Source organism: Homo sapiens, chromosome 17 (assembly GCF_000001405.40).
Source record: "Homo sapiens chromosome 17, GRCh38.p14 Primary Assembly".
In the NCBI taxonomy this organism is placed as follows: Eukaryota; Metazoa; Chordata; class Mammalia; order Primates; family Hominidae; genus Homo; species Homo sapiens.
The window spans coordinates 57,450,169-57,470,775 of record NC_000017.11 but is presented as its reverse complement, the minus strand read 5'-3'; the positions used below and the strand labels follow the sequence as shown (position 1 = coordinate 57,470,775).

At 49.2% G+C, this 20,607-nt stretch overlaps 1 protein-coding gene across 10 annotated transcripts in view, besides 9 other annotated features; it reads right to left on the bottom strand.

Annotated features, from left to right (window-relative positions):
* MSI2 (musashi RNA binding protein 2) overlaps nt 1-20,607 on the bottom strand; it is a 445,731-nt gene that overhangs the window by 230,806 nt on the left and 194,318 nt on the right. The gene's annotated exons all lie outside the window — the stretch shown is intronic.
* Nucleotides 867-1,016: an enhancer, noted in NCBI's record as "active region_12439". NCBI's record gives its function as "activates an Ori minimal core promoter by ATAC-STARR-seq in GM12878 lymphoblastoid cells {active_cell/tissue: GM12878}" and the evidence as "EXISTENCE:reporter gene assay evidence [ECO:0000049][PMID:35858748]".
* Nucleotides 1,277-1,326: an enhancer, noted in NCBI's record as "active region_12438". NCBI's record gives its function as "activates an Ori minimal core promoter by ATAC-STARR-seq in GM12878 lymphoblastoid cells {active_cell/tissue: GM12878}" and the evidence as "EXISTENCE:reporter gene assay evidence [ECO:0000049][PMID:35858748]".
* Nucleotides 4,510-4,759: an enhancer, noted in NCBI's record as "active region_12437". NCBI's record gives its function as "activates an Ori minimal core promoter by ATAC-STARR-seq in GM12878 lymphoblastoid cells {active_cell/tissue: GM12878}" and the evidence as "EXISTENCE:reporter gene assay evidence [ECO:0000049][PMID:35858748]".
* Nucleotides 7,075-7,154: an enhancer, noted in NCBI's record as "active region_12436". NCBI's record gives its function as "activates an Ori minimal core promoter by ATAC-STARR-seq in GM12878 lymphoblastoid cells {active_cell/tissue: GM12878}" and the evidence as "EXISTENCE:reporter gene assay evidence [ECO:0000049][PMID:35858748]".
* Nucleotides 7,255-7,574: an enhancer, noted in NCBI's record as "active region_12435". NCBI's record gives its function as "activates an Ori minimal core promoter by ATAC-STARR-seq in GM12878 lymphoblastoid cells {active_cell/tissue: GM12878}" and the evidence as "EXISTENCE:reporter gene assay evidence [ECO:0000049][PMID:35858748]".
* Nucleotides 7,255-7,748: a biological region, named in NCBI's record as "Sharpr-MPRA regulatory region 3702".
* Nucleotides 7,454-7,748: a silencer, noted in NCBI's record as "tiled region #3702; HepG2 Repressive DNase matched - State 14:Gen5'". NCBI's record gives its function as "represses a minimal TATA promoter and a strong SV40 promoter by Sharpr-MPRA in HepG2 cells {active_cell/tissue: HepG2}" and the evidence as "EXISTENCE:reporter gene assay evidence [ECO:0000049][PMID:27701403]".
* Nucleotides 8,511-8,750: an enhancer, noted in NCBI's record as "active region_12434". NCBI's record gives its function as "activates an Ori minimal core promoter by ATAC-STARR-seq in GM12878 lymphoblastoid cells {active_cell/tissue: GM12878}" and the evidence as "EXISTENCE:reporter gene assay evidence [ECO:0000049][PMID:35858748]".
* Nucleotides 15,222-15,341: an enhancer, noted in NCBI's record as "active region_12433". NCBI's record gives its function as "activates an Ori minimal core promoter by ATAC-STARR-seq in GM12878 lymphoblastoid cells {active_cell/tissue: GM12878}" and the evidence as "EXISTENCE:reporter gene assay evidence [ECO:0000049][PMID:35858748]".

Genomic DNA, 20,607 nt, shown 5'->3' with positions numbered 1-20,607 from the left:
CTTCACTTTACTGCTTTACCACCTTCCACCCGCAGGAGCTGCTGGCTGCCAGGAGCACTGCTGTCTCCATCCCTGCTGTGGACAGCAAGGCTGATGCCGCCCCAGTGCACACAGTCAACTATTCTTTTACCCTACTCTGCCAGCTAGGTCTGGGCGAAGCTTTTGGGGGACTCATCTATTCATTTTATATTCAGTGTGGGCCAGGCAAGGTGGCTTATGCCTGTAACCCCAGCACTTTGGGAGGCCCAGGAGGGCAGATCGCCTGAGGTCAGGAGTTCGAGACCAGCTTGGCCAACATAGTGAAACCCCATCTCTACTAAAAATACAAAAATTAGCCAGGCATGGTGGTGCATGCCTGTAGTCCCAGCTACTTGGGAAGCTGAGGCAGGAGAATCACTTGAACCCAGGAGGTGGAGGCTGCAGTAAGCTGAGATCACACCATTGCACTCCAGCCTGGGTGGCAGAGCAAGACTCCATCTCAAAAAAATAAATAAATAAAAATTTCAATATGAAGGTATTGTATGTCAAAGCTGTGCAAGGCATAGGGAGTACTAAGCTGGTGAGGATAGAGAGGCTGCCCTCAAGGAGCTTATACTTTACTGGAGAAGACAGATCAGGGTTACAATACAGAGGGGTATGGGCTAGAAGAGGGGAACTGCAGGACAGCACCTGACAGGCCCGCAGTCAGCCTTGGGGTGGGGGAAGGGCTTCCTGGGGGAGGCAGCATCTGAGCTGGGTCCTGGAGGATGAAAAGGCATTAAGCCAGAGAAAGGGGAGAGGTGGGAAGAATATTCTGGGAAAAGAGCGTGAGGCATCATGGCATCATCAGGGGTCCACAAGAGGGTTAGTGCTGGAGAAGCAAAGAAGTCCAGGTGGGCACCACAGGACAGGGGCCCGTGGGCCATGCAGCTGTCTGGATTTTATCCCAGGGCTACAAGCAGTGGAATGCAAAATCAGATGTGCACTTCAGAAGATCCAAAAGCAGAACCATCTGGAAGAAGGGAGACTCTGGAGATGGGGACACTGGAGATGTGCCCTCTCTCACCAGTTGAAAGAAACTTTCAGTTCCTGCCCTTCTCACTTTAGCTCTAGTCTCTCACCAACCCTTCTCTCTCCCCCAGTCTCCATGCTCTGGATAGAGGAGGTTCACAAGCCAGGGCCTGAAGATTAACAGAGCTTTGAAGCCAAAAGGTGACCCCTGGGTAAGAACCAAAATCCCCTGTAAGCCTTAACCCTTTCCTCACCTCCAACCACAGTCACGCGCTCCCCATCAACTAAAACCTGCTCGGGAGACCATTGACTCGGCACCCTCATCATCTGTGTCTAAGTGTAATGGAAAAAATTGACTGTTTGCTTGGTGCAATAGGGCATGACACTGTTTACACAGAAATAATAGCCCAACTGTGATGGGTTCTAAATCTCCATTACAGTGAAAGATTTGAAGGACTAAAGCAGTTAAGAAAAATAATTGGTTTTCTTGTTTAGTTTAAAAATCCTTTATGCTTACAGACCATGGACTTCGCACCTCCTTTCTTAAGGGCTTTAAAATAGAAAAGAACAGGAGCTAGAAGATGAGGCAGAAGTCGAGGACTTCTGTTTTTCTGGAAGGCTCCTCTGAGCCAACAAGGCCAGGGCTGTTCTGGATTTCAGAGCACAAAGAGGCTCTTGGAGCCAGCCATGGTCTCCTGAGGCTTTTACCAACTTGAAAGCAGCCTTTCTCCAGGGCAGAAACGAAGGTGAGAGCTGGTATCGGGCAGCCTGTGTTGGAGTTTATGCCCAGGGGAACACGCAAACTGACAGCTGGAGGAGACTCAAGGCCTCTGCTTTCAAGGGAGGAAAAACTGTCAGAGGGTCAGTTATAAGAACAAAAGCAGAAGGGAAAAGATTCTGTCTCAAGGAGAGAGAGGTCAGCTAATGACTCCTCTCGGGCCCCCTACAGCATCTCCCCAGCGCTCGCCATCCTCAGCTGCTCTTTACAACAGAGCTCACAGGATGCCCGGATGAGGCCCAAGAGACCCGCGTTCTGGGCAGCCACTCTACCACACCGACTGCATCCCCCGGCACTGATGACAGCTCAAGACCTCAGCAAGCAGTGTGCTGTGTGCCTGAGGATCCTCTCAGAAGCCAGGATTCTTGCTATCTCTTCTTCAAGAGATGTCAGTCCCACAACTTTCAGTAGTAACAACAATAAATGCTACATGTATTGCGTTTGAGTACAATGTGCCAGCCACTGCTTGTTTTTTTTTTTTTTTTTTGAGATAGAGTCTCGCTCTGTTGCCCAGGCTGGAGTGCAGTGGCGCAATCTTGGCTCACTGCAAGCTCCGCCTCCCAGTTTCACGCCATTCTCCGGCCTCAGCCTCCTGAGCAGCTGGGACTACAGGCGCCCGCCACCACACCCGGCTAATTTTTTTTGTATTTTTAGTAGAGACGGGGTTTCACCGTGTTAGCCACTTGATCTCCTGACCTCGTGATCTGCCCGTCTCGGCCTCCCAAAGTGCTGGGATTACAGGTGTGAGCCATCGTACTGGGCCGCCACTGCTTGTTTCTAAGGACTCTGTGTGCATTGTCTCGTTGAATTCTCACAATACCCTTAAGTAGAGACTCTTTCCTCCATTTTACAGATGCGGGAACTAAGGCTCTAAGAGGTTACGTAACAGACAGTAAATGGTGGCACCAGAGATTCAAACGCAGCCCCATCTGCCTCTAGAGCCTGAGCTCTTATCCACTACACTTGACATTGCTGGGTTTGAGGCAACGACTTTAGTTGACAGACCACACAGCCAAGGAGGTGACCTTTGTTGGCTGGACCCAGAGAGGACACATCTGGCTCTGGCAGGGGACTGCCAGATACCTAAAAATGGGCCAGAGACTGTCAGTGTGCAGGTCCCTCACAGAGGAGAGGGGGAATGACAGAAGGGGTGGGGGGTGGGCCATATACGTGCAACCCTATGCTTTTAAAGAGAAAGGGTGCTATGAGAATGGCCTTCCTGGAGGGTCAGTCAGTACAGACATCCGTAAATGTTCACGGAAGACTGTCGGGATTCCCTAGGACCAGTGTCCTAGAGGTCCTGGATCACCCTCTCCACCTTCTAGGGGCAGGCCCAGGGAATGCCCTCTGGTTGGATACAGCAGGAGGGAATGAATACTAAAGGGGAAACCAGGTGCTCACCATCCCTCTTTCCTTCCTTCCATCTATCCATCTGTCCATCCATCCACCCATCTAGCCATCTTTCATCAGTTCTTCCTTCCTTTCATCGATCCATCTGCCCATCCATCCTTCATCTGCCCTTCTGTCTATCCATGCATCCATCTATCATCTATCCGTCCATCTGCCATTCCTTTCATTCGTCTATCTACACATCCAGCCTACATCTTTCTATCCGTGCATCTGTCCTTCCTCTTTTCTCTTCCCTTTATTCATCCATTCACACTTCTTCCTTTTTTCCATCCATCCAATGCTTTTCAAGAATGCACCATATCCCAGGTACAATCATCTCTACATGGCCAGCCAGACTCCTGGCCTCAGGACTGCTGGGAGATCCAGAAATGCATACCCACCTGACAGTTCTCCCAGGAGGAGCAATGCCTGTCTTCAGGGACAGAGGCTTGGTCAATAAGAGGTTTGTTTATTTTTTCCCAATCTGTGCACCCTCATCTTAGTCTAAGCTTCTGGCTACCCAGAGACCTTCTCAAGGTGAGTAGGGAGGGATGATTAAGTTTCTCTAAAAAGATACACAGTGACTCCACATATAAGACATCACTCCCTTCTGCTCACAAGATAAGGATCCCTTTGGAAAGAGCTAATAGGATGAAAAATCACAGCAGCCAAGATTCCCTCCACTCTCTCATTAAACTAAAGAGCAGGGGGCACAGAACTGAGATGAATGAAACAGACCTTAAGTTGGTCTGACTTAAGACCAGTAACTGAAATATGATTTTCATTTGAAAGTTGGACCTAAATGTTGCCGACAGCAACCTTAAAAAAATCAATAAAGAAAAGAGGGGATGAGAGTATAGTGAGAAAAATGCAGACACTTATAAGTTCAAGACCCTGTGGGACACTCCTGAATATTTTAAATATCTTGGGGGAAAAAAAATGAAAACAGTTTCTCCCAACTTAAACCAGAGAAGGGAGTCTCTTTCTAGTCTGCAAATCCTTTGAGGCAATTCTTTAAATTATTTACCAGCTTTTTGATTATATTTTATGGTGGGGTGGGTGGCAGGGGGAGGGAGAGAGGAAAAAAGAGCTGGGCAAGAAGTAAGTGGGAAAAACCTGCTGCTGACATTTTCAATATCTGTCTGGAATATTTTAAAAGCCCGTGTCTGTTTGAAATCGCACAGTCTTGGGCAACAATGGACTGCCGCCTCCCATACAGCTTTAGGTCATATTTGCATACAAAAGACCGGCTGCTGAGCAGCTATTATGCCAGGGAGCCACAGCGGGCCTGGGAGAGGCCAGGTTACCAGCAAGTGTAAAGAACCCACAGAGACCCCATTAATTTTTCAGGAATTCTCAGGCCCTGGCCTTTTAAAGGCCAGTGGGGAGAAATTCCAGTCAGAAGCCTCCCCACAGTCATTGCCACTAAACGTTGGGTCCAAATTGAGAAATGAAGAGTGACAGGGCCTCTCCCCTAATTACGGGGGACTCTGGTTCCTGAAGGCTGCGGTGAGCAACACCCTTCACAGAGCCTGGTGTGCACCGAGCTGGGGAGAGGGCTGCCCACACTCCTCAGGGGGAGTGTGCACCCGAGTCTCCCTCTGAGGTCCAATTTCAGGAAATTTATTACAGTTGTAAGCCATTAGGTGCCAATTTTTCAAATCAACCTTATGATTCCAAAGCCATGAAAGCATTTGCCGCCTAATAGACTTTGGAAACCCTTCTACGGGGCTCAGAGCTGAGCTAACGTTCTCTAAAAGCATCGCAATAAAGCTTCATGTTCTTCAGCATTCTCGGGCCTATAAAAACCTGATGTGCTGCCAAGTAGAGTTTGGGTTTCTGGGCTGTTCCAATCCCACCAAGGTGGGTGGAGAGAAGGGTGGAATTCAGGAGAGCATGGCCACTCAGGCTAAGAGCACAGAACATTACCAGCAACAGAGACTAGTGGCCTCTGAAAAGGGAAGGCCAGCACCCACCCTCCCATGGGCTTTGGGTAAGGCCTGAATTAAGGACATAGAACTATTAGCATAATGCCTGGCATACAACGGGCTCCTTTCTCCCCTTCCTCATCCTCCACTCCACTCCACAACCCCTAAGATCAACAGTTTGACACCAAGGGCAACTTATTTCATGGCGAAAAAACAAACACAAAAACACAAAGCAGCTTCTGAAAAAACCCAGGCAGGGATCTACCTCATTTTCCCTGGTTAGGGAAAGGGGCCCAGGAAGACCTTTGCCTTTGAGAGAGGTGTCTGCAATGTGATGTGAGCTGACTCTCATCTCAACAAAATGCCTCCTCTGTGTGTTTTTTTTTCTTTAAGTAGAGATGGGGTTTTGCCATGTTGCTCAGGCTGTTCTCGAACTCCTAGACTCAAGTGATCCACCCGCCTTGGCTTCTCAAAGTACTGGGATTATAGGCCTGAGCCACCGCACCCGGCCTGTGCTTTAATTTAGGTTTTCAGAACTAGTCATCTAATCATGTTAAATAGAAATACAACAGTAATGAAAAGGATAATAATATCACATGCTTAAACTATTCTTGATGGTTCCATCAAAAAAAATTGTTTTTCTGCCTTTGAGAATCATTCATGTGGCCCAACACGAGGGCATTTCCCAGGGCAGGTATAAGATGAGTGCTGTCAGCAGGAAGCAAGGAAGCCGCACCACTTAACAGGGAGGCTAGTGCAGGCTTTCACGACAGTATCTCATGCCAGGTGGGCACCGCTCATGGGGCTCTGTCATATCTGACGATGGAGACGGACCGTTTTCAACTCAGAACCAAGGACTTTTTGGTAAGGTCAGACGTCTTCTGGCCAAGCTGAAGCCAGAGGCTCTGCAGGCTGCCTACTGGACCAATCTCAGAGAAAAGAGGAAGGGACAGGAACAGAGTGGCCTACCAGGAACTCTCAGGCTTCCAAAGAGTGTCCCAAGGGGCAGCAGCGTGGGAGGATGCCCTGCCTCTCCCCATCTCCTCCTTCCAGCTGAAGAGGCTGGCCCACACCCACACCCCGTAACGAGGCAGCAGTCTTCTTGCTTGCAGCCATCCTCAGAGAAATGGATCTAACCATGTTCTCCCCAATCTGACCCCCTACTTGAGATCTGTCCAGACCCTTCCAGAAAGGTGGCCTATCCACTTCTGCTTCTAAGACACCTCTGCTTTTCCTTTTTGTTTTTTGAAATAGGGTCTTGCTCCGTTGCCCAGGCTGGAGTGCAGTGGCACAATCATGGCTCACTGCAGCCTTGACCTCCCAGGCTCAAGTGATCCTCCTGCCTCAGCCTCCTGAGTAGCTGGGACTATAGGCACGTGCCACCACGCCTGACTAATTTTTGTTTTTTTCTGTAGAGATAGGGTTTTGCCATGTTGCTCAGGCTGGCCCCAAACTCCTGGGCTCAAGTGATCCATCTGCCTCAGCCTCCCGAAGTGCCGGAATTACAAGCGTGAGCCACTGCCCTGGCCAACTCTTTTTCTACCTCCAGGTCACTTCTTTCCTTCCTTCCTTCCTCAACTCCCCACCTCATCTCCCAAAATATCAACCAAGGAGACAGAACCACTGTGAGTCCAGAAAATATTCTTGAAAACACACACACACACACACATACACACACACACACACACACACACACACACGTTCATTAAACTGAACCAAACTACATGTGAAAGTAGACAAGGTGGAGACACTTTAGGGGTGACAAAATTCAGGTAAACTCTTCAGTCTGAAGTGTTCCAGTCTAAGGATCCAGAAAGTGTCGAACAAATGACAAAGAAGAGGGCGATGCTGGTTGGATAATATAGAGAATGAATGCACAGAACTGGTGTTGGAGGGTAGGTCTCAACTATTTAGAGAGGGGGAGTGCTCTGGACTGGGCACAGCAGATGTGCTGTCCAGGGCCAGGGGCAGAGCAGGGGGCTGGAGCAGTGGGTTCACACTGCTGAATGGATGAAGCTGAGGTTGTGATTGGACTGGACAGGGAAGGGTCTGGAAGGCCAGGTATGAGAACACCCCGGAGATTCTGATGGAGGCACCCCCATGTGAAGGCAGTGCTCATGGGGAGGCAGAAGAAGCCCCGGGCTGTTGGGGAGGAGACCCAGCCAGCTGGGAGGGCGGGGCAAAGCCTTAGTGGGTGGGTGACTAGGGCCTGGACAGGAGGCAGTCTCAGTGGGGCCATGGGGAGGGAGGCTGTAGAGACAGAAGCGGTGACTGGCTTGACAGGGGGTGGCTTTCTCAAAACTCTGAGAAGTCTCTAGGTTTTACTCATGCTGGAAATTCCCCAAGATCAAATTTTTTTCAAGTCATTTCAAAACTATTGGTCCTAGTCAGACAAAGGTCCTACTCACCCTGCCCACCACCCCCACTCCTACATACACAATGCTGGAAGGTCCAGCCCCACGCCTTCCCTCTCAATGCAGGCTTGACACTCCAGACGGAAAACAAGCCACCCTTGGCAAACTGAGCAGGCCGGGGTCCTAGCAGAAGGGAGAGGGCAGAGGGACACAGGTATCTATCTATATCCCTCCCAGAGCCCAGGACTAGCGTCCTCCAAGCTATAAGCAGGGAAAGGGGCACTCGTTGCGATGAAAACTGCAGCTCCTTAATCCTGAGACCTGTGGTGGAAGGGGCCCCATGGCCTCCACTGACATCCAAGCGGGAGTCTCCCAGCTATCACCATCCTCCGTTATGGACACAGGTGCCCAAGGAAGAGGGAAACACCAGGAGAATGTCTGAGTGCTTGTGTGTATGACAGAGACTATAACAGGAAGGTGCCGGCACAGCAGCCCTTGCAATTCACCAGGAAGGAAGGAACTCTGGCTATCCAGAGGCCTCTGCCACATTACAGACTTAATGGCCCATAATGCTTTGGGGGCCAACATTCCCCTCTTGATGAATTTCAACTCAGTTGTCTCTGCACTTCACCTAAATGGATTGCCTTTGAGGAGGAAATGCTTTAAGTGATAAGGCTTATTCAGGAGAATGTCCTGCTCTGTGCTGGAATATTTTTTGATCGATAGAAGGAAATTCTCCAAGTATGCAGACTCACATAGATATACCCTTTTTCTTGTCCACACTCATAAACCCCTGCTGGGAACTGCAGCCTACACAGAGGAGTTAGTCAATGTTCCAGAAGAAAAGTTTTGTCAGAGAAGGGCAGGGGAATCTAGAAGCTGCAAGGTGAGATGTCTGGGGTCACGTGGGCACAACACCCACCTCTGGAAAGGCAAAGAAAGGAGTCCTGGCAGGGGCTGGCAGCCCAGGAGGCACCTGTCCATCTCTGGTGGATGGCTGGGACCCACACAGTAAGGTGAACCATGAAGGGCCAGGCAGGTGAGGTGGCACCAGAGAGACACAGAGCAAGAGAAAGTCGGAGAGAACCCTAATCCAATGTGACTGGTGTTCTTACAAACAGGGGACATTTAGGCCCAGGCATGAGCACAGGGAGAGGGTTACATAAAGATGAAGGCAGAGATTGGAGTGATGTGTCTACAAGCCAAGTAATGCCAAAGACTGCCCGCAAGCCACCAGAGGCAAGGGGAGAGGCCTGGGACAGACTGTCCCTCAGAGCCCTCAGCAGGAACCAACCCTGCCCGCACCCTTATCTTGGACTTCTGGCCTCCCAAACTGTGGGACAAGGCATTTCTGTAGCTGAGGCACCCAGTTTGTGGTACTTTGTTATGGCAGCCCTAGGAAACTAATACAGAAAGAGAGAAGGACAAGAGGAAGGAAATGGGGTAATGGAAAAGGAAGAGTAAGAGAAGAAAGTTTATGCAGAGCTGCCATCTCCTTCTCAAAACCCAAGGGTTCTAGCTCACGTCTGTAATCCCAGTACTTTGGGAGGCCGAGGTAGCAGATCTCTTGAGGTCAGGAGTTTGAGACCAGTCTGGCCAACATGGTGAAACCTGTCTCTACTAAAAATACAAAAATTAGCCGGTGTGGTGGCTCACGCCTGTAATCCCAGCTACTCGGGAGGCTGAGGCAGGAGAATCGCTTGAACCCAGGAGGTGGAGGTTGCTGTCAGCTGAGATCGCTCCACTGCACTCCAGCCTAGGTGACAGGGCAAGAGACTATGTCTCAAAAAAAAAAAAAAAAAATCCAAGAGTTGGGGCTCTGCCCTACTGTTCCCGACAGCAGCCCGGGCCCCAGAAGGAGAAATTTCCTACTTCCCTGCACATTCCCTCTGCTTCCCTTCATTCCAAGCCCCTCTGCCGAGGCTACCTCTTAGGAGGATTAATTTTTTAATACATCAGCACTCTGTTTTTCTGTACTTATTAAATTTAAGACAATGAGTCATTGAACCTGTGAGACTTGGGTTGACTAATTACCACTGAACAGCTGCCTAGGATGACCGTGTGGCCCTCGGGGAGCAGGCCAAATGCTGTCTGTGTGTGGAGCCCAGAGAAGAGTGGGTGACAACACTGCACCCATGTGATCTGTGCAGTCCACTCTGCGGCCGGGTCAAGGGCAGGGAGAAGCCGGCAGACCCCATGGGCACAAGCTCAAGTGTCATGAAGGGTGTTGCCAATGCCCACTCTTCAGAGGAAATGGGGCACTGAGACAAGGGGAGACTGCAGCCCCTGCCACAGGCCCATAGGACAATCAAATTTAACTTTCCACCAAAGCACCTACAAAGAGGGCTGCAGCCTCTGCAAGGAGGGATTCTGAGCATTGAGCATGGTGAGTGAGCACAGTATGGAAGACACACAGCTCCTGCCTCACGTCTCTCCTTTGGCCGGAAGAAATGCACCACCCAGAGCCTGCCACCCTCCTCAGAACACACTCTGCCATTTCAGTCAACCACGCTTTCTGCCTAGAAAGCTCCTCTCCCTTCTCGGCTCAATGGTGACCTCCCCTTGAAGGCTATAGAAGCCACAGCTCCCCTGCCTATGGATAAAGTACAAGTTTCCTAGCACCACTGGGACCTGCCCCTGCCCACCTCCACCCTACTGCCATGGTTCCTCGCCTCCCTTTGTTCCTTCTGGCATTGCAAACTGCTGTAGTTCTCCAAACACACAGGCGGGGTGCCTCATGTCCCATTAGTACTCTCCCCAGGTGAACCCATCCAGCTCCTCATGATTCCTCTGCCTTCTACCTGCTTTCATGGTGGCGTACATCAAATCTTTTTCTTTTCTTCTCTTTCTTTTTCCTTTTCTTTTCCACTTTCCCTCCCTACCTTCCTCCCCTCTTTCCTTCCAAAGACAGGATTTTGCCCATCAAATCTTTTTCTTTTCTTCTCTTTCTCTCTTTTTCCTTTCCTTTCCTTTTTCTCTTTCCCTCCCTAACTTCCTGCCTTCTTTCCTTCCCAAGACAGGGTTTGGCTCTGTCACCCGGGCTGGAGTGCAATGGTGCAACCACAGCTCACTGCAGCCTCATCCTCCCAAGCTCAAGTGATCCTCCTGCCTCAGCTTCCCAAGTAGCTGGGACTACAGGCATGTGTCACCACGCCCAACTGATTATTTATTTATTTATTTATTTATTTATTTATTTATTTATTTATTTGAGACAGAGTTCCGTTCTGTTGCCCAGGCTGGAGTGCAGTGGCATGATCTTGGCTCACTGCAACCTCCACCCCCCGGGTTCAGGCAATTCTCCTGTCTCAGCCTCCCGAGTAGCTGAGATTACAGGTGCCTGTCATCACGCCCAGCTAATTTTTACATTTTTAGTAGAGACGGGGTTTCACAATGTCGGCCAGGCTGGTCTCGAACTCCTGACCTCAGGTGATCTGCCCGCCTCAGCCTTCCAAAGTGCTGAGATTACAGGTGTGAGCCACCGTGCCCGGCTAATTTTTTAATTTTTTGTAGAGATGAAGTCTTGCTATGTTGCCCAGGCTGGTCTTGAATTCCTGGGCTCAAACAATCCTCCTGCCTCAGCCTCCTAAAGTGCTAGGATTAGAGGCGTGAGTCACCACCACACCCGGCCAAGCCATACTTTCGTTAAATGTTCTGCATGACTCTACCTTACCATGAGGCCATGAGTAAAGGCTGTGCCTCCTGTCTCCAGGACCTACCACTACTCAGATGCAACTGGTGCCTGAATAAACAAACACATGACAGTAGTGACTAAAAGCTGCTCTAATCAAACATCAGGGTTCCCATCTAACAAGTCTTCCTTTTCCTGGGAACCTCGGGACATTTATGGACCTGGAGCCAGAGGTCAAAAGTTCAGGGCCTCCTACCATTCTGATGTCAGAAGAGCAAAAGCCACAGCAGATGATTAAAATCTCTCCCTTCCTGTCTCCAGGCCGCGTGATGCCTTTTTCTAGAAAGTCCGACTGAGGACAATGCCCCCGTGCGGCATCCCATGTTCACCTCACCTTCTCTCACCTCATTCCTTTCCCACCCCTGCCCCCAAAACAAAGCAGGGAGCACTTCAGAAGAAAGTTGACAGTGACCCAAGTTTAACACAAAGGTAGTCATTACCATGTCATGAGGATGTGTGTGAGAAACACTTAGCCCAGGTTCCAAAACACCACAAATGGTTTACCTTTTGTGCCACATAAACACCCTAAACTCAAGTTTTACTCAACACTTATTAAATGGGAAGGAAAACATTAAAGAGCATTGGCCTGCCTCTGCCAAGCTCCCATCCATCCAGCTCTTACAAAGAGGGAGGCATTCTTCCGAGCGACGCAGCAAAACAACCACTGACGAGGTTGAGCTGAAGTTATTTGGTGGCAATTAAAAGGATCTGCCATAGTTACCCAAAGCAAACAACCCAACGCTCTCGCCAGGTGCCCAGCAACCGCGGAGCAGGGACAGGCAAGGGAATTCTCAAATTATCCTCCCACGGCCTGCACAGGGCACCCTCCCACCTGTGAACCAAGCCTGTGTCCCACCTGTATCCCACCTTGAACAAAGCCTGGTTCAAGACATGGTATCAGTAGCAATTAAGAGGGCAATTATTTTCTGGAGTTTATATGCTAACTGATCTGAGTTATGGGCCGAGCAGCTGGGCTTCTTGCTGATAACCCAGAGGCATGGAACACAGAGAGTATTAGAGCTGGAGAGGGGCTCTCCATCCATGTAGCCAGCAGTTCCCAGTCAGAGACTTTGTGCTCCTGAAGAAGATATCAGCAATGAGGCTGTCAGCTTCCAAAAGCCAACCAGAAATTGCACAGTGACCCAGAGTTCTTTCCTTCTGACTAAAGCATGGTAACACTGTGACCTAAATCTCTGATGGCCATTGAGAGATTAAAATATGTATACACACACATATATTAAAAATATGTGGCCGGGCACGGTGGCTCACGCCTATAATCCCAGCACTTTGGGAGGCCAAGGCGGGTGGATCACGAGGTCAAGAGATCGAGACCATCCTGGCTAACACAGTGAAACCCCGTCTCTACTAAAAATACAAAAAATTAGCCAGGCGTGGTGGTGGGCGCCCGTAGTCCCAGCTACTCGGGAGGCTGAGGCAAGAGAATGGCGTGATCCCGGGAGGCGGAGCTTGCAATGAGCCAAGATCGCGCCACTGCACTCCAGCCTGGGCGACAGAGCGAGACTCCATCTCCAAAAAAAAAAAAAAAAAAGGTATATATATGTCAGGCTAATATAGTTTATTAAAATATGTACTTATATATATGCAATATGGTATCTGATATCTATTTTTATATATGTATATGCCCAGTTGATAAAAATATATCTATCTGACTTCAATTTATTGAGTCAGAATTCATCTGACTTCTTAGTTTTATTTTATTTTATTTTATTTCTTCTTTTAAAGACGAGGTCTCACGTTGTCTCCTAGGCTGGAGTGCAGGAGCCCAATCATAACTCACTGCATTCTTGAACTCCTGGACTCAAGTGATCCTCCCACTTCAGCCACCTGAGTAGCTAAGACTACCGGCATACAGTACCATGCCTAGTTAATTTTATTTTATTTGATTTTATTTTATTTGTAGAGATAGAGTTTTGCTATGTTGCCCAGGCTGGTCTCAAACTCCTGGACTCAAGTGATCCTCCTGCCTCAGCCTCCCCAGCTGCTGGGATTATAGTCATGAATTATCGTGCCTGGCCTGACTTCCCAATATTTATTAATTGGTTTCTAAGAGGGAAACATATTTTTCAAGACATAGGGTCTTCTAGGAGAAAAATAATTTTAAAATAATTTAAAGACTAAAGATAATTTAGTCTCCTTAAAATAAGTTCATTGGCCAAATAAGGAATCATTACCTACCTTAACCAGCTCTTAGAAAAGCAGACCACTTGTTAGCAGAGTAAATGCTCTGAGAAGTCCTGCATTTAGGGAATGTTTAATTTAGGAGTTGCCACATGTACGGCCATGGAGCCCTTGCATCTCCTAACACCTCTCAATGCCCTGGGGAAACACGGCTCTAGGGGAAAATGTCTAGTCCTCCATCTAGAGTCCAATTCTGTCCAGAGAAATGGGGAATTTGGTGAAACTTTCTAAAATCTCTTACCCCTTTGGGGGTTCAGGTTTCCCAGCTGTGAAGTGATAGGAGTTATTAGAGTGTTCTCTAACATCTCCACCTCTTCTTTTAAAGTTATTTTTGTCCTAGAGACCCTATGTCCTGAAAGAACATGTTTCCCTCTTGAAAACCAATTAATCAATAAACAGTCTGACCACACATTAAAACTCTAGGCCTTGGAACAGGATGCTGCCAAACTTCTCCTTCCTTTCTCCTCCCAAAAGCCAACAACTTTCCAAATGAAGTGCCAATGAAACCACAGGACCCGGGTGCATGGAGATTGGGTGGGAAAATACGCCTTGCTCCCAACTCAAAGAGCCTTGGCCCATTCAGATAAGTTCTCCTGCCAAGGATACTTAAATGGTTGAGAATGACCTAGAAGGCAATCATCTGCCTAAAATAAACTCCAAGATGATGCAGTCCTGGAAACTACATCAACATCTGCAATGAAGATTTACGGACCCAAAGGCAGCAGGCCTTGGAATTTAGCCCCAGTTGTGCCCTGAGCACAACCCTTGGTAAAGCCCTTGAGCAAGACTAAATCTGCACAGCCATCTCCAACACAGGGCAAGTCAGTTGTGGTGTTCCTTTTTTTTTTTTGGAGATGGAGTCTCGATCGCTCTGTCGCCCAGGCTGGAGTGCAGTGGTGCGATCTCAGCTCACTGCAACTTCTGCCTCCCAGGTTCAAGCAATTCTCTGCCTCCGCCTCCTGAGTAGCTGGGATTACAGGTGCCTGCCACCACGCCCCACTAATAGTAGAGACAGGGTTTCACCATCTTGGCCAGGCTGGTCTTGAACTCCTGATCTCGTGATCCACCCGCCTTGGCCTCCCAAAGTGCTGGGATTATAGGCGTGAGCCACTGCGCCCGGCCAAAGCTGTGATGTTCTTCGCTCCCTCATAGAGATGTTATGAGGCTAAGAGAAGGTACAGACATACAAGTGCCCTGGACTCATCCCTTCTTGTCTGTCTCCCCGTGTGCACCCCGAGTTCCCTGCCAAAGGCAGGAACTGCTCTTCAACATCTTTGCATCCACAGAGGAAAGTTCGGAAAGATCGTTTCTTGCTCCTGTTAAACCGTAGTGGTTGTTCGATGTTCTTGTTCTGCTGCCCGGAGGTCCCTCACCTTGGTAGCATCTCCTTTAGGTGAGAGTTTCAAGAGGGCTGTCTCTGCGGGGCGTCTGGTCTATCTTCACATGCAGTGACAAGGCCCGTAACACAAAGCTTCCTGGTGATGTTTCTACCACACTTCTTTCCCAATTCATCTCCAGAGCTTTGTCCAAAGAGTCTGTGCCTAACACCCACACGCGGGCACCAGCTGGGATGGGAACGTGTGTGTGCCTGTGCCTGTGTGCGTGCTGCGGAGGAGCAAAGCCAACGTTTTCCCAAGGTGACGCAGCAAATCAGCATGAGCAGGTTCCGCTGGGCACTCCACGCGGCCCTGCTTCTCTGAGCATGCAGACAGGAGGCCAACAATTCAAAACTACAGTTCCCCGGCTCTCCCCCACTGTCCCTCTGCTGCCCTCGCTCTCCTGCTGTCTCGGCCCCTGCTCCCCACATCTCTCAAGAACATCTCTGTTTGTTTTGGACTCGCTATACACAAAAACTTCTCCACTCAGGGGGCATGAGGAGAGAGAACTGCGCTTGTTTAAAGACGATCTCTTTTTAACGGCTGTAATCTTTAATTCATAACGGTCCTAGGAACCAGCGGTGGACAAGGGCTGAGAGCTGGCCCCCCTTTTTCAGGGTTTTAAAACACAAGCGGCTGCACAGGAAGTTGGTTTTCACAAAGGCAAAAGAGAGAAAAACATGCTAATTCACAAGCAATGGCTTCAAACCCCCCATTTCAAGTCTTATGATGGCTGCCAAGTGGTCCGACTGTGACCACAGCTCCCTGTGTGTGAGTTGGGGGGCAGGGGCTTCACTGCATTATTCAGAGGCTGACCACAAAACCATCTTTTGTGCAAAGTTACCACAGAGAGAGACCGTTTCATATACAAGCTGCAATAGACAGCTGGCTGTACTCTAAAAGAAAGGGAAGCTCTAATACAAGCCCCAGAGCCACATGAAGAGGCATGAGGAGGGAACTCGAAGTCACTGAGCATCTCCCACGCACCTGAATGAGAGCTAGGCGCTCTGTAAGAACTTCATAAGGTGGGTGGGAAAATCAGGCTCTCAGAGGTTACTGAACAGCCTCAAGGTCATGGCAGGAATAGGGTTCCAGCCAGGTCTTCCACGCCTGCGACAGGAGCAGCAGCAGGCAGGGCTGGTATGCAAAGATGAGGTGAAGCCCCAGATGGAATGATGCTAGCGGCACCCCTCTTCCCTAGCCAGAGGGGCTGCGCTGTTACCTCTACTGGCTTTAATCTAGTGAAGAGCTCAAGCGCCACATGGACTACTTGCCTATGAAGAACTCTAGTCCATGGCAAAGGACCAAAGCCACAGACCTGGGTCAAAGGAGATCTTGAAAACACATGCCATGGCACACGCCTGCAATCCCAGCACTTTGGGAGGCCGAGGTGGGTAGATCACCAGGTCAGGAGATCGAGACCATGCTGGCCAACATAGTGAAACCCATCTCTACTAAAAATACAAAAAATTTGCCAGGCGTGGTGGCGGGTGCCTGTAATCCCAGCTACTTAGGAGGCTGAGGCAGGAGAATCGCCTGGACCAGGGAGTTGGAGGTTGCAGTGAGCCAAGATCGTGCCACTGCACTCCAGCTTGGAGACAGAGCGAGAATCCATCTCAAAAAAAAAAAAAAAAAGAAAGAGAAAAAGAAAAAGAGAGAGAGAGGAAAGAAGGAAGGAAGGAGGACAGACATACCTTCAGCAGCTACAGGGAAGATGAGGCGGGCTGGAACCACTCACTACTGCCCTTCAGAACAGTATATGGAAGCACACGTTCATTGGACACCAGCACCATTGTGGTGACACCGGATGGTGGGCCTCTCACTATCCACAGTTCCTGGTGGTTTTGGGGGCTGCCAAAGGCACTATTAATCATCACTCCGCCCCGAGCTCCATCATTTCAATAACATACTGAGCCAATGTGCTCAAGATCTGCACAGAGCTCCTGGAGCGAGCCAGTCCTCTCCACTTAGCCCTTGGGTGCCTGTTTATTTCACTGAGCCTTCTGCCCTGTGAATGAGGGCTTCCTGCCAGGTATCAGCCTTGGCGGCCAACAGGTGGGTAATAGCACACAGGGTCATGCAGCCCTTTCTTCCCAGAGAGGTACTCATCCAACCAGTGGTTTTTGATGAGAAAGATAAAGGTATGAGCTCTGGGGTCAGGCAGTTTGGATCCTGGCTCTGCCAATTCCTGGCTTTTTGATCTCAAACAAGTTACTATAGCCCAATCCCTCACCTGTAGAGTGGGAATGATGACAGTACCTATCCTGAGGATGGTGTTGAGAATTAACCCATTTATGCCGGAGGTTGCAAATTTTTGTGAAAAATCAGACCTTGGTGATGACCTTGAGCAGTAGGATATAAATAACTCCCCACAAGCTTGGCGTTCCGATAATGGAACACTAGGCATAGATAGGTTAAATGAAGTAATAGAAAAGCGTGCCCGGCACAAGGTATATGCTGTACACAGGCAAATGCTTGTGTCTGCTCAAGTGGCTCTTCTGATGTTGGCATTAAACTTCTTGCTTTGTCCCTCTACTAGGCTGAAATGAGACACAAAACCAAGTGTTCCGTGATACTGTTGACTTCTCACCACATAGGAAGTTCTAGGGATATGGCTCAACCCCAAATCATCAGGTTATAAGGCCTGTAGTGCTCATCACCTGGGCAGCAAGAGAAGGGAGAGCAAGCCTCAGTCACTGTCACAAGATGCCCTGAAAATCAAGACAGCAGCATTGCAGGGAAGTGACCACAAGCAAAAGCAAGAAGCCCCTCAGGCCAGGCTTGGTGGCTCATGCCTGTAGTCCTAGCACTTTGGGAGGCTGAGGTGGGCAGATTGCTTGAGGTCAGGAGTTTGAGATCAGCCTGACCAACCTAATGAAACCCCGTCTCCACTAAAAATACAAAAATTAGCCAGGTGTGGTGGTGCACACCCATAATCCCAGTTACTCGGGAGGCTGCGGCAGAATCACTTGAACCCAGGAGGTGGAGGTTGCAGTGAGCCAAGACTGCACCACTGTACTCATCTGGGTGACAAAGCAAGACTCCATCTTAAAAAAAAAAAAAAAAAAAAAGTCCCTCAACCAGAAACAAGCCCTCAGCCAGCACTGGCCTGGCAGTTCTGTTCCCTATCTACCATGCAGAATCCTTCCCCAGTCTGAGGTTAGAGCCTGCATCCAAATCCCAGTTCCCCACCTCTCAGCTGTGGCACTGAAGGCAGAACCTGAACCTCTCCAAGTCCTCACCTGTAAGACGAGGGTGATGACAGAACCACCCTCATGGGCTGGTAAGAGGAACACGTAAGATGAAGTACAAAATACACTTTGCTCAGCTCCTGGCATGTTCTAGGTATTAAAGAAAAGTATTTATTATTATAACTGCAAAAATGAGAGAATTCAGGCCTTCTCTCTTCAAATCCGAACCATCTTAGAGAGCAATCTTTTCAAGTACAAGGTCTTCCCTCCCACTTTTGTTTGTAAGTCCAGAAAATACAGTCCACATTTAATGATCCTAATGTACAGAGTGGAAGCAAGCAGATGGATTGTTAAGACTGCTGCAACAGTTCGGCTGCCCCTCACGAGTCCAGGACCCACTAACAGGCCTCTGGCCTGGCATGGGGCACACCAACCAGCAGGCAAAAGGCCTGACTTCTAGTCCTGGCTCTGCCACTGGCATGCTTGCAGGCAAGGTGGCCTGGGGAAGTTGCTTCCCCTCTGTGAGGATGGACAGGGGTTCCTGTGGCCACTTCTGGCTGACTGCGGGTCACCTGCTCCCCCTCTGGAGGAGGCTCCCTGCTCTCCTGGTGGAGAAGAGAAGAGGGCTGCAAGATGCATTGCCCAGAGAGCCACCGGAAAGAAGACTAGAACCTGCCTCCCAGACACCAGCTGGGTGAACCTCCATTTCCCGTCTAGGGAAGCCGGCCAAACTGGTTAACCCTTACCATGTCTTCTCACTGGAGCCTGAGGGATGAGGGTGTGGTCACAGGTGCCCACACTGGGAAAGCTGGATTTGAGGACATGGGAGAGCTACTCCTCACTAAAGAAAGAGAAGAGGACATCCCCCCTGAGAACGGTCAGCAAAGCTTGGAGGGGTCACGGCTTCCTGTCTGCACAACTTCCTCACGCCCTGATACTCCTCTTCCCCAAGGCTTCATTTTGGAACCGGCTAGCCAGCTGATGAGGGTGACAGATTGTACCCTGTCCCTTCCCTCTTTCTGAAAAGACCAAACTGCCTCTACTGGGCAGCAGTTGTGAAGAGTTTTAAAGACTACAGCTTCACAAGGATGTGAGGAGGAAGGCTGGTCAGGGCAGCTGTGCCGGTCTCGCTACTATTCCTGAATCGCAGTGTGGCTTTCTCAAAATCTGCAGCTCCAACTTCCCACCTTAAATCTCAGACAGCAGCAAAGCACTGGAGCAATTTTCTCAGCTGGCCTCAGAGCAGAAGTAGAAGCAGGTGAGAATGAGATTAGGGACCCATTTTCTGTGAAGATCCAGCAACAGCTACGAGGCCTCTGCTCTCAGAAAAAGGATGGAGAGTCTCACTGTTCAGAGATGCCATGCCCAGGCTGGCACCTGAAGCTGCAGAAATGTCACAGGACAGCTGGGAGCCCACGATGGGCTGATCAGCATGTTGCTTCTGAAACAACAACCAGTTCTTTGAAGGTGCCTTCCTCCAACACCATCACTTAACATCTGCTGACTTATTTAGCGAAGGATCTCTATTGTGCATTTCAGGACAAAGGAGGGGGTGGCTTCTCCGAGAAATCCTCCTTAAATGTGCACCCACACACATGCACGCACCCACATCGTCACACAATTCACATGCTCAAAATCCGGCAATGGGCACAGATGTCTCGCAGAGAGTTCATTCTACATTCCTAGTTCAGAGAGGTGTCAGGGTCCAGCTAAAGGCACGGGAAGCTCAAGTCAGCCACAGTATCTGGTACTCAACCCCCAACACTTTGCTCCTCTGGATACTTACCTGTACCCTCCAACTATCCATCTACTCAATCTTAACCTGGATTATGAGCAATCGAGGAAGCTTCACAAAGCCCAAGGAGAACCTAGAGAAGAAGGTGGAAACACCACTACCACCCACTGGACCATCCAACCCCATGTTAAAAAAAACTTGTCCATCAAACTTCCCCTCTTCCTCCAGCTAAGTCTCAGGAAAGGATGGAGGAAAAGGCAAAAAGTTTTGGGAGGAGGGTGGACAGCCTGAGAAAACAAGACTATATTATTTTCTCTGAGTATACAGAAGAGTGTATAAATGCACAGAAAAAGCTCTGTTATACATATGAAAATAAGATCAAGGGTGGTGGCCAGCAGGTGGGGGGAGGGGGGACGGAATTGTACAAGGGGACTTTTGCCTTTACTCACCTTTTTTTTTTTTTTTTTTTTTTTTTTTGAGATGCAGTCTTGCTCTGTCACCCAGGCTGGAGTGCAGTGGTGTGATCTTGGCTCACTGTAGCCTCTACCTCCCGAGTTCAAGCGAATTTTCCTGCCTCAGCCTCCCGAGTAATTGGGATAACAGGCATGCACCACCACGCCTGGATAATTTTTATATTTTTACAGGGTTTCACCATGTTAGCCAGGCTGGTCTCAAACTCCTGGCCTCAAGTGATCAGCCCGCTGTGGCCTCCCAAAGTGCTGGGCAGGCATGAGCCACCGCACAACTTTTGCCTTTTCTATGAGGTTTAAATTTTTTTCTAAGGAAAGTGACTTCTTATATTACTTTATGTAATTTAACAAAGGTTTTCTTTCTTTCTTTCTTTCTTTCTTTCTTTCTTTCTTTCTTTCTTTCTTTCTTTCTTTCTTTCTTTAAGCTGGGGAATACCATTTCCAGTTGTTACTCCAGCCCCAGAAGGAAATAAATCTTTTTCCTCCCTCTCATTTTTCATTTTGAAGAA